This window comes from Homo sapiens, chromosome 4, assembly GCF_000001405.40.
Source record: "Homo sapiens chromosome 4, GRCh38.p14 Primary Assembly".
Taxonomy (NCBI): domain Eukaryota; kingdom Metazoa; phylum Chordata; class Mammalia; order Primates; family Hominidae; genus Homo; species Homo sapiens.
In genome coordinates, this window is record NC_000004.12 from 150,243,107 (window position 1) to 150,261,162 (window position 18,056).

Here is an 18,056-nt window from a genome sequence, read left to right on the forward strand (position 1 = left end):
TTCACTGCTTTTTACTTTTTAAAAAAAGTGAGACTCAAATTGAAGAGGATGCATTTATCATGGATTGATACTGAACGGGGAGCAGCTTTTTTGTGGGGTCTAGAGATAAGTTTAGCTAATCAAAAGCAATAAAGCTACATTCTGAAAGCTGCTGCCCTTATATGCTGCCTTCAGAAGCAGGTCATAGACCTCCAGGTAGCTTTTAAAAATTAAGACAGCGCTTTCCCTCTTTTATATCATATTGTGATGAAAGAGAATCTGTAATGTTAAACGTGTGTTACCAAAGTGTCTTCATGGCATACAGCGACATTCTGGGTAGATTTTATAACCTACTATAATACAGAAATGCATGTCATTAATTACGGACATGGTACTTTAAATTACGGTAAATAAGTTTGGTATAAAGTAGATTGTCTACATTTGTACTTAAAAGTCCTTCACATATTTCAAATAGTCTCTTTGTTTTATACAAAAGACAACTTTAACCCAAAGCATTTAAACTACAATCGTTACTTGGAATTTACAGTTTTAGCTTCTCTGACGATAGCATCTTTCATTCTTTCTTCCTTCAGGCTTTTCAGGTTTTAGTTGTAGTTTGACATGTGTTCTCTTTCTAGTCTTTTTTTTTTCTTTTTTATAGGCAGGATCTTGCTCTGTCACCCAGGCTGGTGTGATCACAGCCCACTCCAGGCTCAAGGAATCCTCCCACCTCAGCCTCCCAAGTAGCTGGGACTACAAGCACACACCACCATGCCCAGCTTTTTTTTTTTTTTTTTTGGTAGAGATAGGGTCTCACTTTGTTGCCCAGTCTGTAAATTTTATTTTTTAATTTTTTTAATTTATTTTTTAAGAGACAGGGTCTCTGTTGACCAGGCTGGAGTGTAGTGGTGCAATCATAGCTCACTGCAGTCTCCAACTCCTGGCTCAAGCAATCCTCCTCCCTCAGCCTCCTGAGTAGCTGAGACCACATGTGTGCACCACTATATTGCACTAGTTGTTGAAGTTTTTCGTTGAGATGGGGTCTTGCAGTGTTGCCCAGGCTGGTCTTGAACTCCTAGCCTCAGGCAGTCCTCCCACTCCAGCCTCTCAAAGTGTTGAGATTATAGGTGTGAGCCACTGTGCCTGAGCCATTTCCCTCTAGTCTTTTTCAACATCAGATTCATCATTACCGAGAAGTAGATTGGTTTTTCAGAGGCACCCAAAATTTTAGTTGTTGTCTAAGCAAGTCTGCTCTTAGGGTCACTGACAAAAAGTATTATTTGTGTGACTATACTGAAATTTTTGTTTCTCTTAAAACACACACAAAATGCTCCAAGTGGAATGTTTGAACATCATTTGGGAAATAGCTTACAACATTTTCAGGTTTACCTTTTCTGAATTATAATGCTTTGTCATTGAAAAGAGAGCGTGTGCACAAACTCTTTTGTTGTTTTTCAAGTTTTTCTTAATGGACATTTTTAGACTTACGGCACCTTGGTCCAAAGGCTATATTGTTTTAGAATTTAAAAATGCCATGAAGGATCTCAGCCAGATTGTGGAGTATCAATGCGATACCGGATCCAGTGTGGATTTAATCAGAACAGCTTTTCTTACATGACTGCTAAGAAAGATAAATTAGCTTTCTATTTTTCTAGTGCGGGGCAGGCCCCAACTGTCAAAGCTCTTGCAACTTACAGTGGATACTTCAGGGTCCCATTCTCATTGCTGAGACACCCTGTGGTTTTGTTTGTTGACTCAGGGTATTTTGCCAAGAACCAGCTGCTATAAATGACTGCTGTGCACACACTTCCAGCTTTTTAGCTATTTATTAACAAAATAAAAGCTGTATACATTAACAAAATATAAGATATTTGAGATTCCAGAAAAAATAAGGGGGAGTTGAGTGGAATAATAGGTAAGGATGACTAAAAAGAATGATTGTGGAAATAGCTCATTTTAAATATCTTTTTCTAACATCATATGTTGGAGCCCTCTGGTTCTCTGAAGTTTTCCACTAAATCTAATAATCTTAGATGTATTCTGTACTCACTTTGAAGGAGCAGTAAGCTGAGTTCACTCAGCAGGGAAATAACAGTGAAAAGGAAAGAAAACATTTTGACACTAAGAAACGCGTGTGCATTCACAGGAAATCACTCTTTGGGACAGTAGTGGTAATCTCTTTCTCTTGCCTGGCCCAGTTATCTGTCCTGACTTTCACTCCTCAGTGTGCCTCTTCACCAAACTCTGTGGACCAGTGGGTGTCCATTCAGCTGGGCTTGCTTTTTTTTGTTGTTTTTATTTTATTTAAGTTCTAGGGTACATGTGCCCAACGTGCAGGTTTGTTACATATGTATACATGCGTCATGCTGGTGTGCTGCACTCATTAACTCATCATTTACATTAGGTATATCTCCTAATGCTATCCCTCCCCCTTCCCCTACCCCATGACAGGCCCCGGTGTGTGATGTTCCCCTTCCTGTGTCCAAGTGTTCTCATTGTTCAATTCCCACCTATGAGTGAGAACATGTGGTGTTTGGTTTTTTGTCCTTGCGATAGTTTGCTGAGAATGATGGTTTCCAGCTTCATCCATGTCCCTACAAAGGACATGAACTCATCCTTTTTTATGACTGCATAGTATTCCATGGTGTATATGTGCCACATTTTCTTAATCCAGTCTATCATTGATGGACATTTGAAATAGGAACACTTTTACACTGTTGGTGGGACTGTAAACTAGTTCAACCATTGTGGAAGACAGGGTGGCAATTCCTCAAGGATCCAGAACTAGAAATACCATTTGACCCAGCCATCCCATTACTGGGTATATACCCAAAGGATTATAAATCATGCTTCTATAAAGACACATGCACACGTATGTTTATTGCGGCACTATTCACAATAGCAAAGACCTGGGCTTGCTCTTAAATGTCATGAATATTTACAAAGCTCACAAACTCTACTCTTTTTTTTTTTTTTTGAGACAGAGTCTTGCTCTGTTGCCCAGGCTGGAATGCAGTGGTGCGATCTCAGCTCACTGCAACCTCCGCCTCCCAGGTTCAAGGGATTCTCCTGCCCCAGCCTCCTGAGTAGCTGGGATTACAGGTGCGCACCACCATGCCTGGCTGATTTTTTTGTATTTTCAGTAGAGACAGGGTTTCACCAAGTTGGTCAGGCTGGTCTTGAACTCCTGACCTCAGGTAATCCACCCACCTTGGCCTCCCAGAGTGTTGGGATTACAGGCATGAGCCATCACACCCAGCCAACTCTGCTCTTTTTAATAGGAGAGGAATGAGGGAGCCATGTCATCACAACAGCCCTAGAATTTATTGCTAGACACTGTCCTGAATGATCTGTTTCTCAGGACACCACGCTTGCCCTTGTTCCCCTTTGAGAGGGTTGGTAGCAAAACCCTGAAGGCTGGGTGAAGAAATTCCAAGAAAAGTTTGCACACTCGCCGGGTAATACTTAACTTGCACTCCTGGATTTTGAAGTTGACTCCAACAGCCCATTCTGAGCTTTCTCATGGGGCCTTGTAATGGCCTGGAAAACTAGTGATGCTGTTCCTCACTCTAGCCATCGATGCACCCACCAAGTGAGGGGGCTGTGGAGGTGAGGTTATATGGGAGGTTGGGGACGTCTTCCCCAGTGGTGTTTCCACATTTCCATGACATCATTCATGAGAAGTCAGGTCAGCCTGTATTCATCAGGCACTAACTGTGTAAGTGCACCTCCGAGGGTGGGTCAGTCAGGCGCAGGTTGGAGGGATGCCCCTGTGAGCTGCTGACATGGGTTTGCCTCAGCCTGTGCCATTCTGCTTGGCATCTTGGGTTGGCCCTTCCTCTCAGACTGAGCTTAAATGAAAGTCAGTTTCCAAGAGTGAACTAATTATTTCATGAATGTTTATCCAGATCCTGAACTCCTTATGACTTTTTCATATGTTGGCTGTTCCACTGATCTTTGGCTGTTAAAGTGCAAAGAAGAAGGGAAAGGAGATCGGACTTAGATTTTCTGCCTTTCCTTTCTTGTTGCCATGACAGCTTGAGGGCAGATACTGATTTTTTTCCCCCCAAAATGAGGATTTCCATTATTTGTGGATTCAAATATTTTCTTGAGTGTGTGTGTGTGGTAAATATACATAAGAAAATTGATCATTCTCACCATTTTTAAGCGTACAGTTCAGTACCACTAAATGCATTCACATTGTGTGCAAGAATCACCACCGTCCCTTTCCAGAACTTTTCCATCTTCCCAAACCGAAACTCTGCATTCATTAAGCAAATGTTTGAGTCATTGTCTCTGTCTCTTTAATTCCTCGGCCTATGGAAATGTTCTTTGGCTCATTATCTAAAAGGAGAAGTTCTGTCATTACAAATGGAATTGAGATACATAATTGAGATACGGAATGCCCAAGTCAAAGCCAGAGACTGGACTCCTTTCCCCGCTCTTCCTGTGGACATTTTGTTGAAAAATTCTACGGTGACTTTGACTTTTCTTCCATTTCTTTGTCACTGGCTTAGTGAGAACAATCTCCAGGAAGATCTCTTCGACCAGATCTTGGCTGGGAAGCTGGAGTTTCCGGCCCCCTACTGGGATAACATCACGGACTCTGCCAAGGTACCCTCCAGGCCTGTTTCTGTGGGTTGTATTACGTTGTGGGGTCCTCACCCATTGCACAGGGCTGTAGCTGCGCTAGGTATTGCATTCCAGAAAGCTCCTTGGCTTTTAATGTGTGGTTCTTCTTTTAAGTTTATCCCATGGTATGGTCTCTGAAGTTCTTGGCCAAATTCTTAAAGCTGGACTGGCCATCTTTCCAGTTTCCCTCCATCCTCTTGTGCTCCTCTAAGTTCTCAACATCCATTATTTCATTTACTCAAGAAATATGTATTGGGCACCCATCAGGATACAGGGATGAACTTGTGAAACACACTGAATTGCCAAAAGGAAAAATACTGCAGTTTTAGACTGTGGAATAATAACAATGACCAGAACTCTTAGGTGAAAACATCTTAGTTTCACATGGACTCAGGAGAGACTGTCTTTTCTTTTGCACTGCTTATAAGGCATTAGGAGAGTAGGTATAATCACGTTTAGGTTTGAATCAGTTAGCAGCTGTGCTGGCTCTTCTCTGAAGTGCTTGCCACAAACTCAGATTTCTGTATTTATGCTGGAATTACCTCCTTTCTCCTCCTCTGTGGTCTGACTTGTTTGTTTATTTGTAGGAATTAATCAGTCAAATGCTTCAGGTAAATGTTGAAGCTCGGTGTACCGCGGGACAAATCCTGAGTCACCCCTGGGTGTCAGTAAGTACCCACATTCCCAGGGAATGGGCCTCACTGTGCTCTGTGGCCAACAGCACGGTTCCTCACTGTGATGTTTGCACATGCAAAAGTTATGCATCCAAGCTCCATGGTAGATGTCTGTCTGTCCCATTGAGCAAGTAGCATAAAGATGGCTCCCCAAGAAAGCAGTTGGCACTAGGGTCCCAGTCTTAGACCCTGCCCCGCGAGTCACCTGGGCAAGTCACTGTCCCTTTCTTGGCCCCAGTTTCCTTATCTGCAAAATGGAATTGGCCACAGTGCTCCTTCAGGAGGCTTTTAGCTCTCGTCTTCTGCGGTTTGGGGTTTGAGAGTTTCCAGGGTTTGCCCTGGAGATGAGCCTGTTTCAGACCCTGACCTTTGTGCCTTCAGGGAACGTGCTCTCAGGAGACCTCTTGCTGTTGATGGGGAGGCTGAGACAGGATCGCTTCAGAGCTGAGTGGAGACACATGATATTGACTAGAGTTCCCTCCCAGAGGCTCAGGTGGTCTCTGGGAGGGAAACATGATCCAATAAATGGGGACTGTGGGAATTACATTTCTCCCATTTCCGTCATTTCTGGGAGGCTCCAGGAGAGTGAAGTTAGTTTAATTAGCCCAGGGCTTTGTTGACTCCGGTTGGGAAGCTCCCTGTGTACCTCCAATGCCCCACCCACCCACCATCCAGGTGCAGTTTCTCTGGACCCTGCTTGCTGCTCTCTTGGGCTAAATGACGTGGTTCTTGGACCAAGTAGCTAAGATACCACATTTTTTTTTATTATAAGCAATAAAGACTAACAACTAAATGAATTCTTGATTAAAGTGAAAAACAATGATCTTTGATGCTTCCATGGGAGGGATCATACTAAATCGTGTGCCTTGGGTGAGGGTCTCAGTAGCCTAAAGTGTGTCCTGCTTTGTGTCCCGGGAGACCTGTGCCCTCTCCTGGGCCTACTCTAGTCCTGAGGGGCAGAGGGAATGGTGTGGGGTCTTTCTGAGGGCATGGGCCTACTGAATAACAATAGTTATTTTTGAAAGATCATTGTTTCCCTAATTCTGTGGCTAAGAGGGGCCCATTTAGGAAGAGGTCAGGAGGGTGGTTGAGGCGGGGAGGGGGACTCTTAAGGAAAAGACAACTCAAACGGGAGGATGGAAAAAGCATTGTATTTGATTGTTTTCTTTCCTGTAGGATGATGCCTCCCAGGAGAATAACATGCAAGCTGAGGTGACAGGTAAACTAAAACAGCACTTTAATAATGCGCTCCCCAAACAGAACAGCACTACCACCGGGGTCTCCGTCATCATGGTGAGTGGAAGGCGGCAGGTCTGGCCTGACTGCGGAGCCGGCCTTGAAGTTTTTGAATTAGGTAGCCGGGAGCTGCCCTCACATGGAAGTTGGTGCCTTCCGTAGTCCTATTTCATATGAAGATTGGCTTGGCATGTGGAGGGCACTCATTCGGCAACTCCCAGGCTTTGGGCACTGTGTGGAGGGGCTTGTGTAGGGACCAGCAGGCCTGGTGTGAGGGGTCCAGGCGTCAAGGAGCTCCTGGCTGGGCCCTCTGGGCAGCTGCTTCCACTCTTGTCTCTGCCTTCTCATCTAGAGAGACTCCCAAGCCCTGGAGGGGTGTGTTGTGTTAGGAATTAACTCCCTGCCTACCCCAAGGCCTCAGAAATAGATTATTAGAGATGTGAATTATTCTTTGAGACTTGGGATAAGAAACAGCCAAAGCTAAACATATTTCAGTTTTAAAAAATCAGTGTTTTATAAAACACAGTTTGGGGCTTTTAAAGGTACATAATCAAGGAAAAAAATATATATTCATTTTTCAGGGTTGGTAACATTTTATGAGATGTCAGTGACAACGATGGCCTTATTTTTTTCAGCCTTTTCTTCTTCCAAAATGTTTCTTAAGGCAACTCTCCTAAATACATAAACACAACAAATTAAAATGAAAAGTGACATGAGAGTAAATGAATCAAAAGGAAAAAACATTGAACCAGAGGTGAGGGCAGCACACCCGCAGCAGCTGTCCAGGCCTGAGCCAATGCAACCCTGGGCGGGAAGGCCAGCTCACCGTGAGCAGGTAGAAGCCAGCCAGCCACCCAGGCAGGGACCTTGGTTCTCCCCACACACTCCCAGGAGCAGGGAACAGGGGTGGAGTGGCCTTTCCCAGAGCTGGAGTTGGCTGCAGCAGCTTTCGAATCAGACCTGCCAAGGTGATGGGCGTCTGAGTTTCACATCTGGGCCCCCCGTGACCCCACTGAGTCCTGACAGCTAAGGATGGGCCACCTCCACAGCTCCGTCACTCGTACTTGGGACAGGCCTCTCATCCTCTGGGAAGGTCCTCCTTGTTTCCTACCCAACTAGAAGGGAAACAGTGGCATATTCTCATGGTACATGGTTGTCTGAGAGCCTTACCTAGGAAGACGCAGGGTCTAGATAGAAGCTATAAGGAAGCCACACACATAACCCACATCCCCACACCCCCAACATCCCCCACACTCCCCACACCCCCCACACCCCCCACATCCCCACACACCACAAATCCTCCACACCCCCACACCACACATCCCTCACACCCCCCACACCACACATCCCCCACACCACACATCCCTCACACCCCCCACACCACACATCCCCCACACCACACATCCCTCACACCCCCCACACCACACATCCCCCACACCACACATCCCTCACACCCCCCAACACCCCCACACACCCCCCACACCACACATCCCCCACACCACACATATCCCCCACACCCCCCACACATCCCCCACACCCCCCACATCCCCCACACCCCCCAAATCCCCCACACCACCCACATCCCCCACACCCCACACATCCCCCACACCCCCACACATCCCCCACACCCCACACATCCCCCACACCCCCCACACCACACATTCCCTCACACCCCCCACACCACACACCCCCACATACCCCCACACACTCCCATCCCCCACACCACACATCCCGCACACCCTCCACACCACACATCCCCACACACCTCACACCCCCCACACCCCCACACAACCCACATCCCCCGCACCACACATCCCCTACACCCCCCACTCTACACACCCCACACCCCAACACACCCCACATAACCCCCACATACCCCACACCCACACCCCCCACACCCCCCACACCCCCACCCCCCACATACACACCCACACACCCCACACCCCCACATAGCCCACACAGCCTACACACCCCACACCCGAACACACCCCACATACCTCCACACACCCCACACCCCCCGCCCCCACGAGCGTGCAGCACTCTGTTATATGCATTGAGCATACACCAGGTACCCCCACACACCCCCAACACCCCCACACACCCCACACCCGAACACACCCCACATTCCCCACACACCCCACACACCCCACGAGCATGCAGCACTCTGTTATATGGATTGAGCGTCCACCAGGTTCTCAGCACCCACTGGGCCGTCATTCTCTTCTGTCCCCCGGCTGCGTTTATGTGGCCACCCTCTGTGTGTCCTTGCAACTCCCCAGCTGCTCCCCTGCCAGAAAGTGTGCTCTCCCTCTCTCCCTCTCTCCCTCTCCAGACAGAGCCTGGGTTTGCAAGCTGAGTCTTTTGATGGCTTGCAGGACTTTGGGGGCGCTCTGTGCCAAAGCAGTGAGAAGGCCTTTTGAGTTGTGGTTTCCCTTGAATTTTAGCAGTGTTTTGCTGAAAGCCTGAGAAAGTCAGAGTTGTCAAAGAATTACAGCTTAGACACTTTGAAAAGAACCATCTTGATTGAGCCAACAGCATGAGAATGTTTCCAGCGATTCCCTTGCGAGAGCTAGCATTGATGGATGGGCTCAGTGGTACACAGTCTTGCTGTGCACTGCGTTGTAAGGCAGCTTCTTGGAAAATTTAGAAAAATAAAACATTAAAAATTGGCATACTCAACGTGTCATGAAAAAACCTTAAGAAGAGAGATTGGTTAGGATCAAAATTTAATAACCATGTTAAGTCTTCTGAGAGGAAGAACCTTTAACCGCCCTGTGCCCAGGGCTTAGGAGAGTTTGCTCGGAGACTGTGAAGGGAGTCATTGCTGGGGTCACTTTTTGACTCAGGGGCCCAGATAGGAATCAGTGGCCATAGGCCTGTGCCCGGCCTCTTTATGGCTGGCTCTCAGCTGACATTCTGGAATGATTAGCTGTTCTACAGGCTCTGTCCTAGATAATGACGCTTAGACCCCCTCAGACAGAACCTATGTCGTGTGGTTTACAAATACCATTTTCCATTTGCTGATGAGGAGTTCAGGACTCAAAAGACAAACCCCTGGGCTCTGACAGGGTGTTTGTGTGAACAAACAACCCGTTATTGTTTGCAGCTCTGATGGTGATTGTAAATGTTGTATGTTTATGTGTGTTCAGTTGTCATTTTGCGCATGTTGGCAGGGTGTCCCCTCTAACCCCATGTTACCTACACAACTCTGCAGGCTGTTAGCTCAGAGGAACTGCTGATGTCATGATCCCATTCAGTACCTACAGGGAAATTCAATCAGTCTTGCCTCTGGTGGCACCCATTCTCGATGGCCAAAACACCAGCCTGTGACTTTTGGGCTGTCCCAAAAAGTGGGAGGGGAAGGCCTGCTGCTGATCCTCCCCTGGCGCAGGACCTGGTCTGGGGCATGGTTGTGTGGGGGAACTTGCGATGCTGCTGTATTGTCCTCCTCGTCCTCCTCATCCTCCTCGTCCTCCTCATCCTCCTCATCCTCCTCATCCTCCTCACGTCACTGTGTGTCCTGTCTTCGGAACAGTTTTAAGTGTTTTTACATTAAAAATAACCTCAAAATGACTCTCCCTGGTACTCATAGGTCCTCATAACTGAGACTGTGGGGCCAACCTGGTTTTCTGCAGATACAAATGATAGTGGAAATAGTGTCAACCGTCTGGAGGTTGAATCATCAGATAACTTACAGACAGGACCTTCCCATCTGCTGTCACCCTAGTGTTCTCATCCCCAGAGCTGGGGCCTGAGACTTCAGTGAGAAAATGATGGGCTAGAAATTGGTCCATAAAGGTGAAAAAAAAGTAAAGTTGATGGTGTTATCTGCATTTTGTTTGACAGTTTGATTTGACAGTTTGAGAGGCACCTCAGAGTTTCCTTCTTTACCCCGCTGAGACAGTGGGAGAGCCTGAAGCAGAATCCTGGTATTCACCACGCTGCGTCCGACCAGCGCGCCCCATCCTCAGCCCCTCTCACGCCTGCATGCTTGTCTCAGTTTCTGATGCCGCCGTCCGGCTCTCAGCTGCTTACTGGTGTGGGTCTTTTGTACCTACTCACATCCTTTCCAGCCAGCCAAGCAGGCCCCTGGAAAACTTTATTTTCAAACTTCTCAGCTTACCACACTGCCTGCCTTTCCAGACCAACAGCTGGTGAGAGCACGGGAGGAGTCCCATAGTTCTCCTACCGATGCTGTTTCCCACTTAGGTGAAAAGTGGCTTTTCGGAAAGAGCAGCTTAAGATGGTGCCTTCGTGAAGGCTTTTGTTCTTTCTCCAGCTGCATTTCCAAAGATGAGTTTGTATCAGTAAGTGTAATCTCAGCCAGCCTTTGGGATAAGAGAAGATAATTTAATGGGTGAGGCCTTGGTTTCAGGCAGGGCTGAGGTGTGGGATTACAGTTCCCATTTTCTTGGACTTGTCCTTAGCATGCGTAAGAAAGGACAGAGCAGGGTGCATGCAGGACGGCCTCCCATGTACCCCGGGGGGCTCGCCCCAGTTGCAGAGACCAGGAGAGACCATCTTGTGGTGGGAAGGGAATGCCGAGAAGCCGCCGTCACTCGGCGCCTGCGGTGCAGACTTGAGAAGGGACGGATTCAAGGGCATTGCCTTCTTCGCTGGGGGATTATGCCTTGTTTCAGGGGGAAGTTGGGGAAGGATTTGGGTTTATTGCCTTAATTTAAGATAGACAAAACTGTTTCACTCGTGTTGCTTCTGTTGAAAGTAAGTCTAGTTTCTGTCCCTGCTTCTCTCCTGCCTTCTGCCTCTCCCGCCGCCTGCATTGCTTCCCTCTGGCTAGGTCCAAGGCCATGGTATGTACTAACCGCACTGCCAGCCTGCCTTCTGCCACACACGCCCCTGTGCTTCTGACAGGAAGAGAAAAGGAGAAATAACGGGGGGATTGTTTTCTTGTACCCAGGAGACATTTTGTGGTAGGAAAAACCTGTATGCTGGCTCTCTGCTTCCCATGTAGGTGGGAGCATCTTTTAGTGGAGTTTTCCACAGTTACCCTTTCTCCAGGTAGTTGAAATTGTCCTTGGAAATTGTAGGGATTTGGGGAGTTTTGTTTATTGAGACAGGATCTTGCTCTGTTGCCCAGACTGGAGTGCGGTGGTGTGATCCTAGCTCACTGTATCCTCAAACTCCTGAGCTCAAGCCATCCTCCTGCCTCAGCCTCCAAGTAGCTAGGACTACAGGTGCACGCCACCTTGCCCGGCTAATTTTTAAATTCTTTGTGGAGATGGAGTCTCTGTGTTGCCCAGGCTGGTCTCAAACTCCTGACCTCAAGTGATCCTCCCTCCTTGGCCTCCGGAAGTGCTGGGATTACAGGTGTGAGCCACTGCACCCGGCCAGAAATGGATGACTGTTCAGCTTGAACTTGTGAGGGCCTGTGGAGAAGCAGCCATTCCATAGGTGGCCCCAGGTGCCCTGAAGGCCGCCACCCAAGTTCATCTTAGAAAGCCCTGTTGTTGATTCTTATTTTCTCCAGACTTTTTTTGTTGTTGTTAAAGTACTGAAAGAATCTTTAGTGCATTTTCCCCTCTCCCTCCCCAGGGTAGTTAGATTACAAAAGGCCTCCTGGCAATTGTCCCTTTCAGCTAAAGGTGCCTGGGAACTGCCATCTCCTTCACTTTTGGGAAGCCCATTGAGATGGCAGCTTGATGGGCTTCCCTGGACAAGCAGGAAATAGAGAAGGAGAAAGCAGGACCGGGGTCCCTTCCCCAGCCAGGCTTAGAACGCAAGGTGACTGCCTCACATCTTTGTGGCTGTTTCTCTGTTCCTTGAAGAGCTGAGCAGATTTAAAAACTTTCAGGATGTTTCAGGATAAGGAAGCTTTGCTTCATGTGAAGAGAAGACAGGTGAGGATATCATGGAGGATCTGAAAAAAGAGTAATGTGGCTCCATCCAATTCCTGGGCCTTTTATAGGCTTCACAGCATCTCAGGTTGTTAGGAGGATTAATTATTCACAGGACATGCGGGTAACTTTTCAATCTGTGACAGAGAGCTTTATTTGGAAGAGTAAACTCTCCAAGACTGAGCACCCTTGTAAGGTTTGCTTATTGTCTCAGAATTCTTTTGAGCTTAAGGTCTGGGCTTGGGCTGAAGGGGTGAGAACCCAGGCACAGCCCAAAGCGAGAGAAGACGACAGACATCCAGTGTGTCCTGGGCTGCCAGCCTGGGTCAGGGTAGGAGCAGAGGCCAAGGACAGCCCCTTCCCCCGGTGGGTTCCCGAAACCATTACTCTCCTGTGAGGCTTCTGTTAGAAGCTTGGCGTTATTTCTCCTCTTCTGTTTCTGAGGCCCGTGCATGCTCTGTTGTGCTCTCTGCTCGTGGCAGCTGGGACCCGAGCCTGGGCCCGGGTAATGTGTTGTCTCTGCTGTTTCCTCCTCAGAACACGGCTCTAGATAAGGAGGGGCAGATTTTCTGCAGCAAGCACTGTCAAGACAGCGGCAGGCCTGGGATGGAGCCCATCTCTCCAGTTCCTCCCTCAGTGGAGGAGATCCCTGTGCCTGGGGAAGCAGTCCCGGCCCCCACCCCTCCGGAATCTCCCACCCCCCACCCTCCTCCCGCTGCCCCGGGTGGTGAGCGGGCAGGAACCTGGCGCCGCCACCGAGACTGAGCCTCCTGCAGACGGGCGAAGCCGCCTGCTGCAGCCCAGGAAGCCAGCCCTCTGCTCGGCCTCGCCGGCCTCCCTGCTGCAGGCCTCCCTCTCTTCACCGCCTGCGCCTGAGTTCGCGGGTCCTCCGCAGGCCGCCTGGGAACCGGAGCCTGGCGTGCCGGAGCCTGGCCTGGTGCTCTGGGCTCTGCCTTCTGGTTCCTGGAGGCATCAAAGGCTGCATCCGTTCTGCCAACAGCTGTTCGGAGAGACTCGTTCCAGATCATCCCGTCATTTTCAGTTTGTTGGACATTTTACAGCTTCACCAGGAGAATGTGCAACTTTATTCCAGCATTCGATGCATTTTTATAGAAACACTTTGGAAACACTTTGGATGAACCAAGGCCTTTTCCTTATTTAAGTAGACTCAGAACACTCCCTTTCTTTTCTTTTCTCTCTCTCTCTCTCTTTTTTTTTTACGAAAGACTTAGAATTGCATTTGTCCTTTTGTGGGTGTCCTGTGAGAGGTGATATGGGGGCTAAGAGGACTGGCTTTCTAATAGAAGAAGTGAGCGCCTGAGAGGACAATTTGGTCATTGGACACGGATTGCAGGCTTTGAGAAGCGCTCAGAGGCCCAGGGCGGCGGGCTCAGCCATTCGGCTTGGGGCACCAGGCTCCCCAGAGACAATGCTCAGTATTCATTCATACACAGACGATGGAAGAAGCCACTTCTTCCCTGGGCGGTGTGGGTTTCCCCCAGCTCTTCCCACACGTGTGTTAGGAAATGCCCGTGAACTTGCCCTCTGGGCTTTTTAATGAGAGGCTTGGCGCATGCGGCACCCAGCGGCTGCTTCCCTGCAAGCCAGCGACTTGCCGAGCAGAATGAGCTCTGCTCCTGAGCCCCGGTAGCTGCTTCCTCATCTGCATTTCATCTGGAGCAGGGCAGGTAACCACAGGAGGAGGCATGCCCGAGGCAGCCAGGACTGGGCGGGAAGGTGCTCCCTGGATATACTCTGTGAACCTTCTGGAAGGCTGCTGGCAGTTTTTCCTTTTTGTCCACCACCCTGCTCTTTTTAATAATTGTACATAATCCGTGTATTTGTTTTACCTGCTCATCTTCTAAACTGGCGAGCCCTATAGTTCGTTCTCATTGTTAGATTTTGCCTTTTACAAGTGTCCCCAACCTGCAATAAACTTTTCCCTCTTGAAAAAAAGTAATCAGGGATGGGCAAAGGTTTCTGTGCTGTTGTTTGGCTAAGGATGTATGGGAGCAAAGTTCTCCTCCTCGGCCCGGGTTCCAGCGGGTGCCAGTGGCTGTTTTGCAAAGTCTCAGGGCCACCCGGGGAAAAGAGGAAGCTCGGGGAGAACACACATGGAAATGAATCTTGGTTGAAGTTTGTCTGGTTACAGGTGCAGAATGGGCGTGGTGGCTCAGGCCTGTAATCCCAGCAGTTTGGGAGGCCAAGGTGGGTGGATCACCTGAGGTCAGGAGTTCCAAGACCAGCCTGGCCAACATGACAAAACCCCATCTCTACTAAAAATAGAAAAACTAGCCGGGCGTGGTGGCGCATGCCCATAATCCCAGCTACTTAGGAGGCTGAGGAGGGACAATCACTTGAACCAGGGAGGTAGAGGCTGCAGTGAGCTGAGATCGTGCCACTGCACTCTAGCCTGGGTGACAGAGTGAGAACCTGCCTCAAAAAAAAAGACACATCACAAAAGCTCAAGAACAAATGGTGTGCTTGGTGTGCGACAGAGGAACCTTATGAAGCAGCAGCAGGAAGGGCAGAGAGTTGGGGCAGTTGTTCCCCTGTCTCTCTCTGAGGTTGTGTGGTCTCCTGTCTCTGCTTTTTCCAGTGCCTTGTCAGCTACAGCTTTCTCTGCAAGACTCTTGTTTCTGTCCCCTCATAGTACCCACTTACCTGTGGTTCAGGTTACCCTGGTACTGCCTCTGTCCGCAACTTTTCAAGGCTTTATAATCCCAGGGCTTGAAACCATCTAACTTGACTCTGGATCTTCCAGTTCAGATTGCTGAAGGAATGAGTCAATCTCAAGGGCCAGGCGATACAATGAGTTCTGGGCTGGTGCTGACCCCTGATCAGGTCCAGAGGTTGGCCACAAGGTGCGGTGGGTTGCGGGCTGGGGGAGCGGGCGGCGGGCTTCCTAGGCCCACAGCTGTAGCAGGGTCAGGCTACAGGAGGACGACAGTTTCAAAAAAGCAGTGATGTATAGGTCTAGAACATTCTGCTTGTGCCTCCTCTTTGGTTACAGGACAAGCTTTTTCATAGCTTTCAATAGAAATATTTTTGTTAATGGAAGGGAAGAGCTAATAAAAGGAAGAAGGAGAAAAATGCAAACAGCGATAGAACAAGGCCTCTGGCACTGATCTGAGCCCCAAACCCATTTCCCTCCCTTGAACTGTGAGGTTCAAAGAAAGACATCTGCTAAAGGCAAAATAAGTGGCTGGCCAGTGCCAGTCACTGTCAGGATGCAGGAGCCTCTTCTTGTCGGTACATGCCTCCGCCCTCTGTAAGGATGGAGACCGGAAGTAGCATGAGCTGGCAGGGGCGGCACTGCCTAGCCATCCTGCTAAAATGGTTATGACCCCAGGAAAACCTACAGAAGTATGTGGCGCTAGGGGAGCAAACCAAGAGGTCAAGTCACACCTCCAGGGTAATAGAATTGGCAGGAGGTGGAGCCATGATGCAGTGTTAGCTTTTGCTGACTCTAAAGTGCATGTTCTTTTTGGGGGCGGGGCGGGGGTGACCCTGTCTATCCATGGCTAAATCAAGGCCTGGAGGGGAGGAGCTAAATAAAGGTTCTGATACAGGCAGATTGTTCATCTGCCCACTTGTTTAGCAAACATTTATTAAGCTGTAATTCTGTCTCAGGATCTAAATTAAATACAGGTACTTAAAACTGCTGGGTTCCTCAAATCCTGCACAGAGAGAATGGCATGAACTGTTTCATGTTGATTCCCTTACTTGAGCCGGGCCGAGTCTCAGCCTCTCATTTTCTCTCTCTTCCTCTCACCCTCTCTTTTCAGAAAGGTTGCTATGATAGAAATGTATTGAATATATAAATTGAAGGCATTTGGCAAAACTTCCCCCAGAATATCTTCATGGCTAAAATGGTGAAATGTGAATTAGGAGATGGTGAAGACAGCTCAGGACAGATTCACCATGTTGAAAGCAGGAGTGCTGATTGATGTTGTCTTGGAGAAAGATCTCTAGAACAGTTTGCTGTCCCACAGAAATATGCAAGCCACAGGAGACAGCATTTCCTAGTATCATGTTAAAAAAATTTTTTAGAGAAACAGGTGAAATTAATTTTTATAGTATATTTTATTTAACCTAATATGTCTAAATACATCCAAAGTATTATTTTGGCATGTAATCAACATAAATCACTAGGATGTTTTACTTTCTTTGTTCTAAACCTTTGAAATCTGGTGTGCTTTACATTTATAGCATGTCTCAGTTTGGACAGGGCACATTTCCAGTGTTGAACAGCCACGTGGTTAGTGGCTGCCATGCTGCAGCTTCAGTCTTTGTTCTTAACCTTTTTTTTTTTTTCCCGCATATGATGTGAATAACAACTTAGAATGCTTTCCTGTTTTTTTTTTTTTAATGGAATGGACTCATTTAAAAGGATCTCAGCAGGTGAGGATACTGATCCAAACCCACGGTGTAGAAGTGAAGTGTGAAGTGCTGTGATTCAATTCTGTAACTACCCAAGGCAAGGCCCTGGCCTGCAGCACGGCTGAAGATCTGGGCCTGGAGGATTTCAATGACCGCCCAGTCGTTAGGAGCCAACACAGCTGCTTGAACATTAGCATAATCTTAACTGTGTTATGAGAAGCACGCGCAGATCCCAGGCAGTGCTAGCTGGGGATGGAGTTCTGTTCTGGGGACCTTGTTACATGTGGTGCAGAGCAAGAGCAATGATCACCCGACAGAGGACAGCTGGAGTGGTGAGGGGGTGTGAATCCTGGCAGCCAAGGACTGGTGGAGAAAACTGTGAGGTAAGAGGAAAGTCGAGGCACATTTGCTCAATGTCTTTGGCTGTGTAAAGGACTGCTCCATAGAAGGGGCACAGCCTTTTTTTAGTTGCTCTGGATGGTCAGCCTGAGGTCAGCAGGTAGGGGGCACAAAAGGTCAGATTTAAGGACAGAGTGAGAGTAAGATTCTAGTAACAGAGCAGTGCAGTCACAGAATCAGCTGCTTTCTAAAGAAGAAGATCATGACAATCACACAAGTTTGCAGCTTATGGAGTATTTCATCCTATCTCATTTGAGATATGCCACAGCCCTAAGAGATAGATATTAATATCCTTGTCTAATAAATAAGGAAATGGAATGGTCAAGAGCTTCCCCAGGCAGGGCAGGTGCCCCATGACAAGGTTTCCTCTTTTGGCAGTCAGAGATGTGTTAGGAGTGCTGCGTGTGTAAGACACAGGTGGGGTGCGAATTCATAGGAACATTCACAGTTTGGCTTTTAACCTTGCTGGAGGAGCCCACTCTCTCAAAAGAGATGGCTTGCCTGGCCAGGCACGTGGCTCACGCCTGTAATCCCAGCAAGGCGGAGACAAGGCGGATCACCCGAGGAAGGCAGTTCAAGACCAGCCTGACCAACATGGAGAAACCCCGTCTCTACTAAAAATATAAAATTAGCTGGGTGTGGTGGCGCATGCCTGTAATCCTAGCTACTCAGGAGGCTGAGGCAGGAGAATCGCTTGAAACCGGGAGACGGAGGTTGCGGTGAGCCAAGATTGCACCATTGCACTCCAGCCTGGGCAACAAGAGCAAAACTCTGTCTCAAAAAAAAAAAAAAAAAAAGTTGCTTGCCTAAAGGCCAAACCACCCTTCATTTTCTACCACTTTGTCAGTGGCTGAGAAGTTATCAGAGCAGGGGCACTTATTTAGATCAAAGTCAGAGA

At 48.2% G+C, this 18,056-nt stretch overlaps 1 protein-coding gene across 9 annotated transcripts in view; it reads left to right on the plus strand.

Moving 5' to 3' along the window:
* Window positions 1-14,332, plus strand: part of DCLK2 (doublecortin like kinase 2) — a 178,994-nt gene extending 164,662 nt beyond the window's left edge. For 6 of the 9 annotated variants that reach the window (NM_001040261.5, XM_017007833.3, XM_005262785.4 and 3 more), the window contains 4 exons: window positions 4,497-4,593; window positions 5,199-5,279; window positions 6,462-6,578; window positions 12,914-14,332. In NM_001040261.5, coding sequence (NP_001035351.4) covers window positions 4,497-4,593; window positions 5,199-5,279; window positions 6,462-6,578; window positions 12,914-13,141 — 523 coding nt within the window. In that variant the 3' untranslated portion in view covers window positions 13,142-14,332. Of the gene's footprint in view, window positions 1-4,496; window positions 4,594-5,198; window positions 5,280-6,461; window positions 6,579-10,367; window positions 10,451-11,319; window positions 11,333-12,913 lie in introns of all 9 variants that reach the window. The other 3 variants (XR_007096380.1, NR_036614.2, XM_017007832.3) reach the window with 2 other exon arrangements.
* The last annotated feature ends 3,724 nt before the right edge of the window (window positions 14,333-18,056 follow it).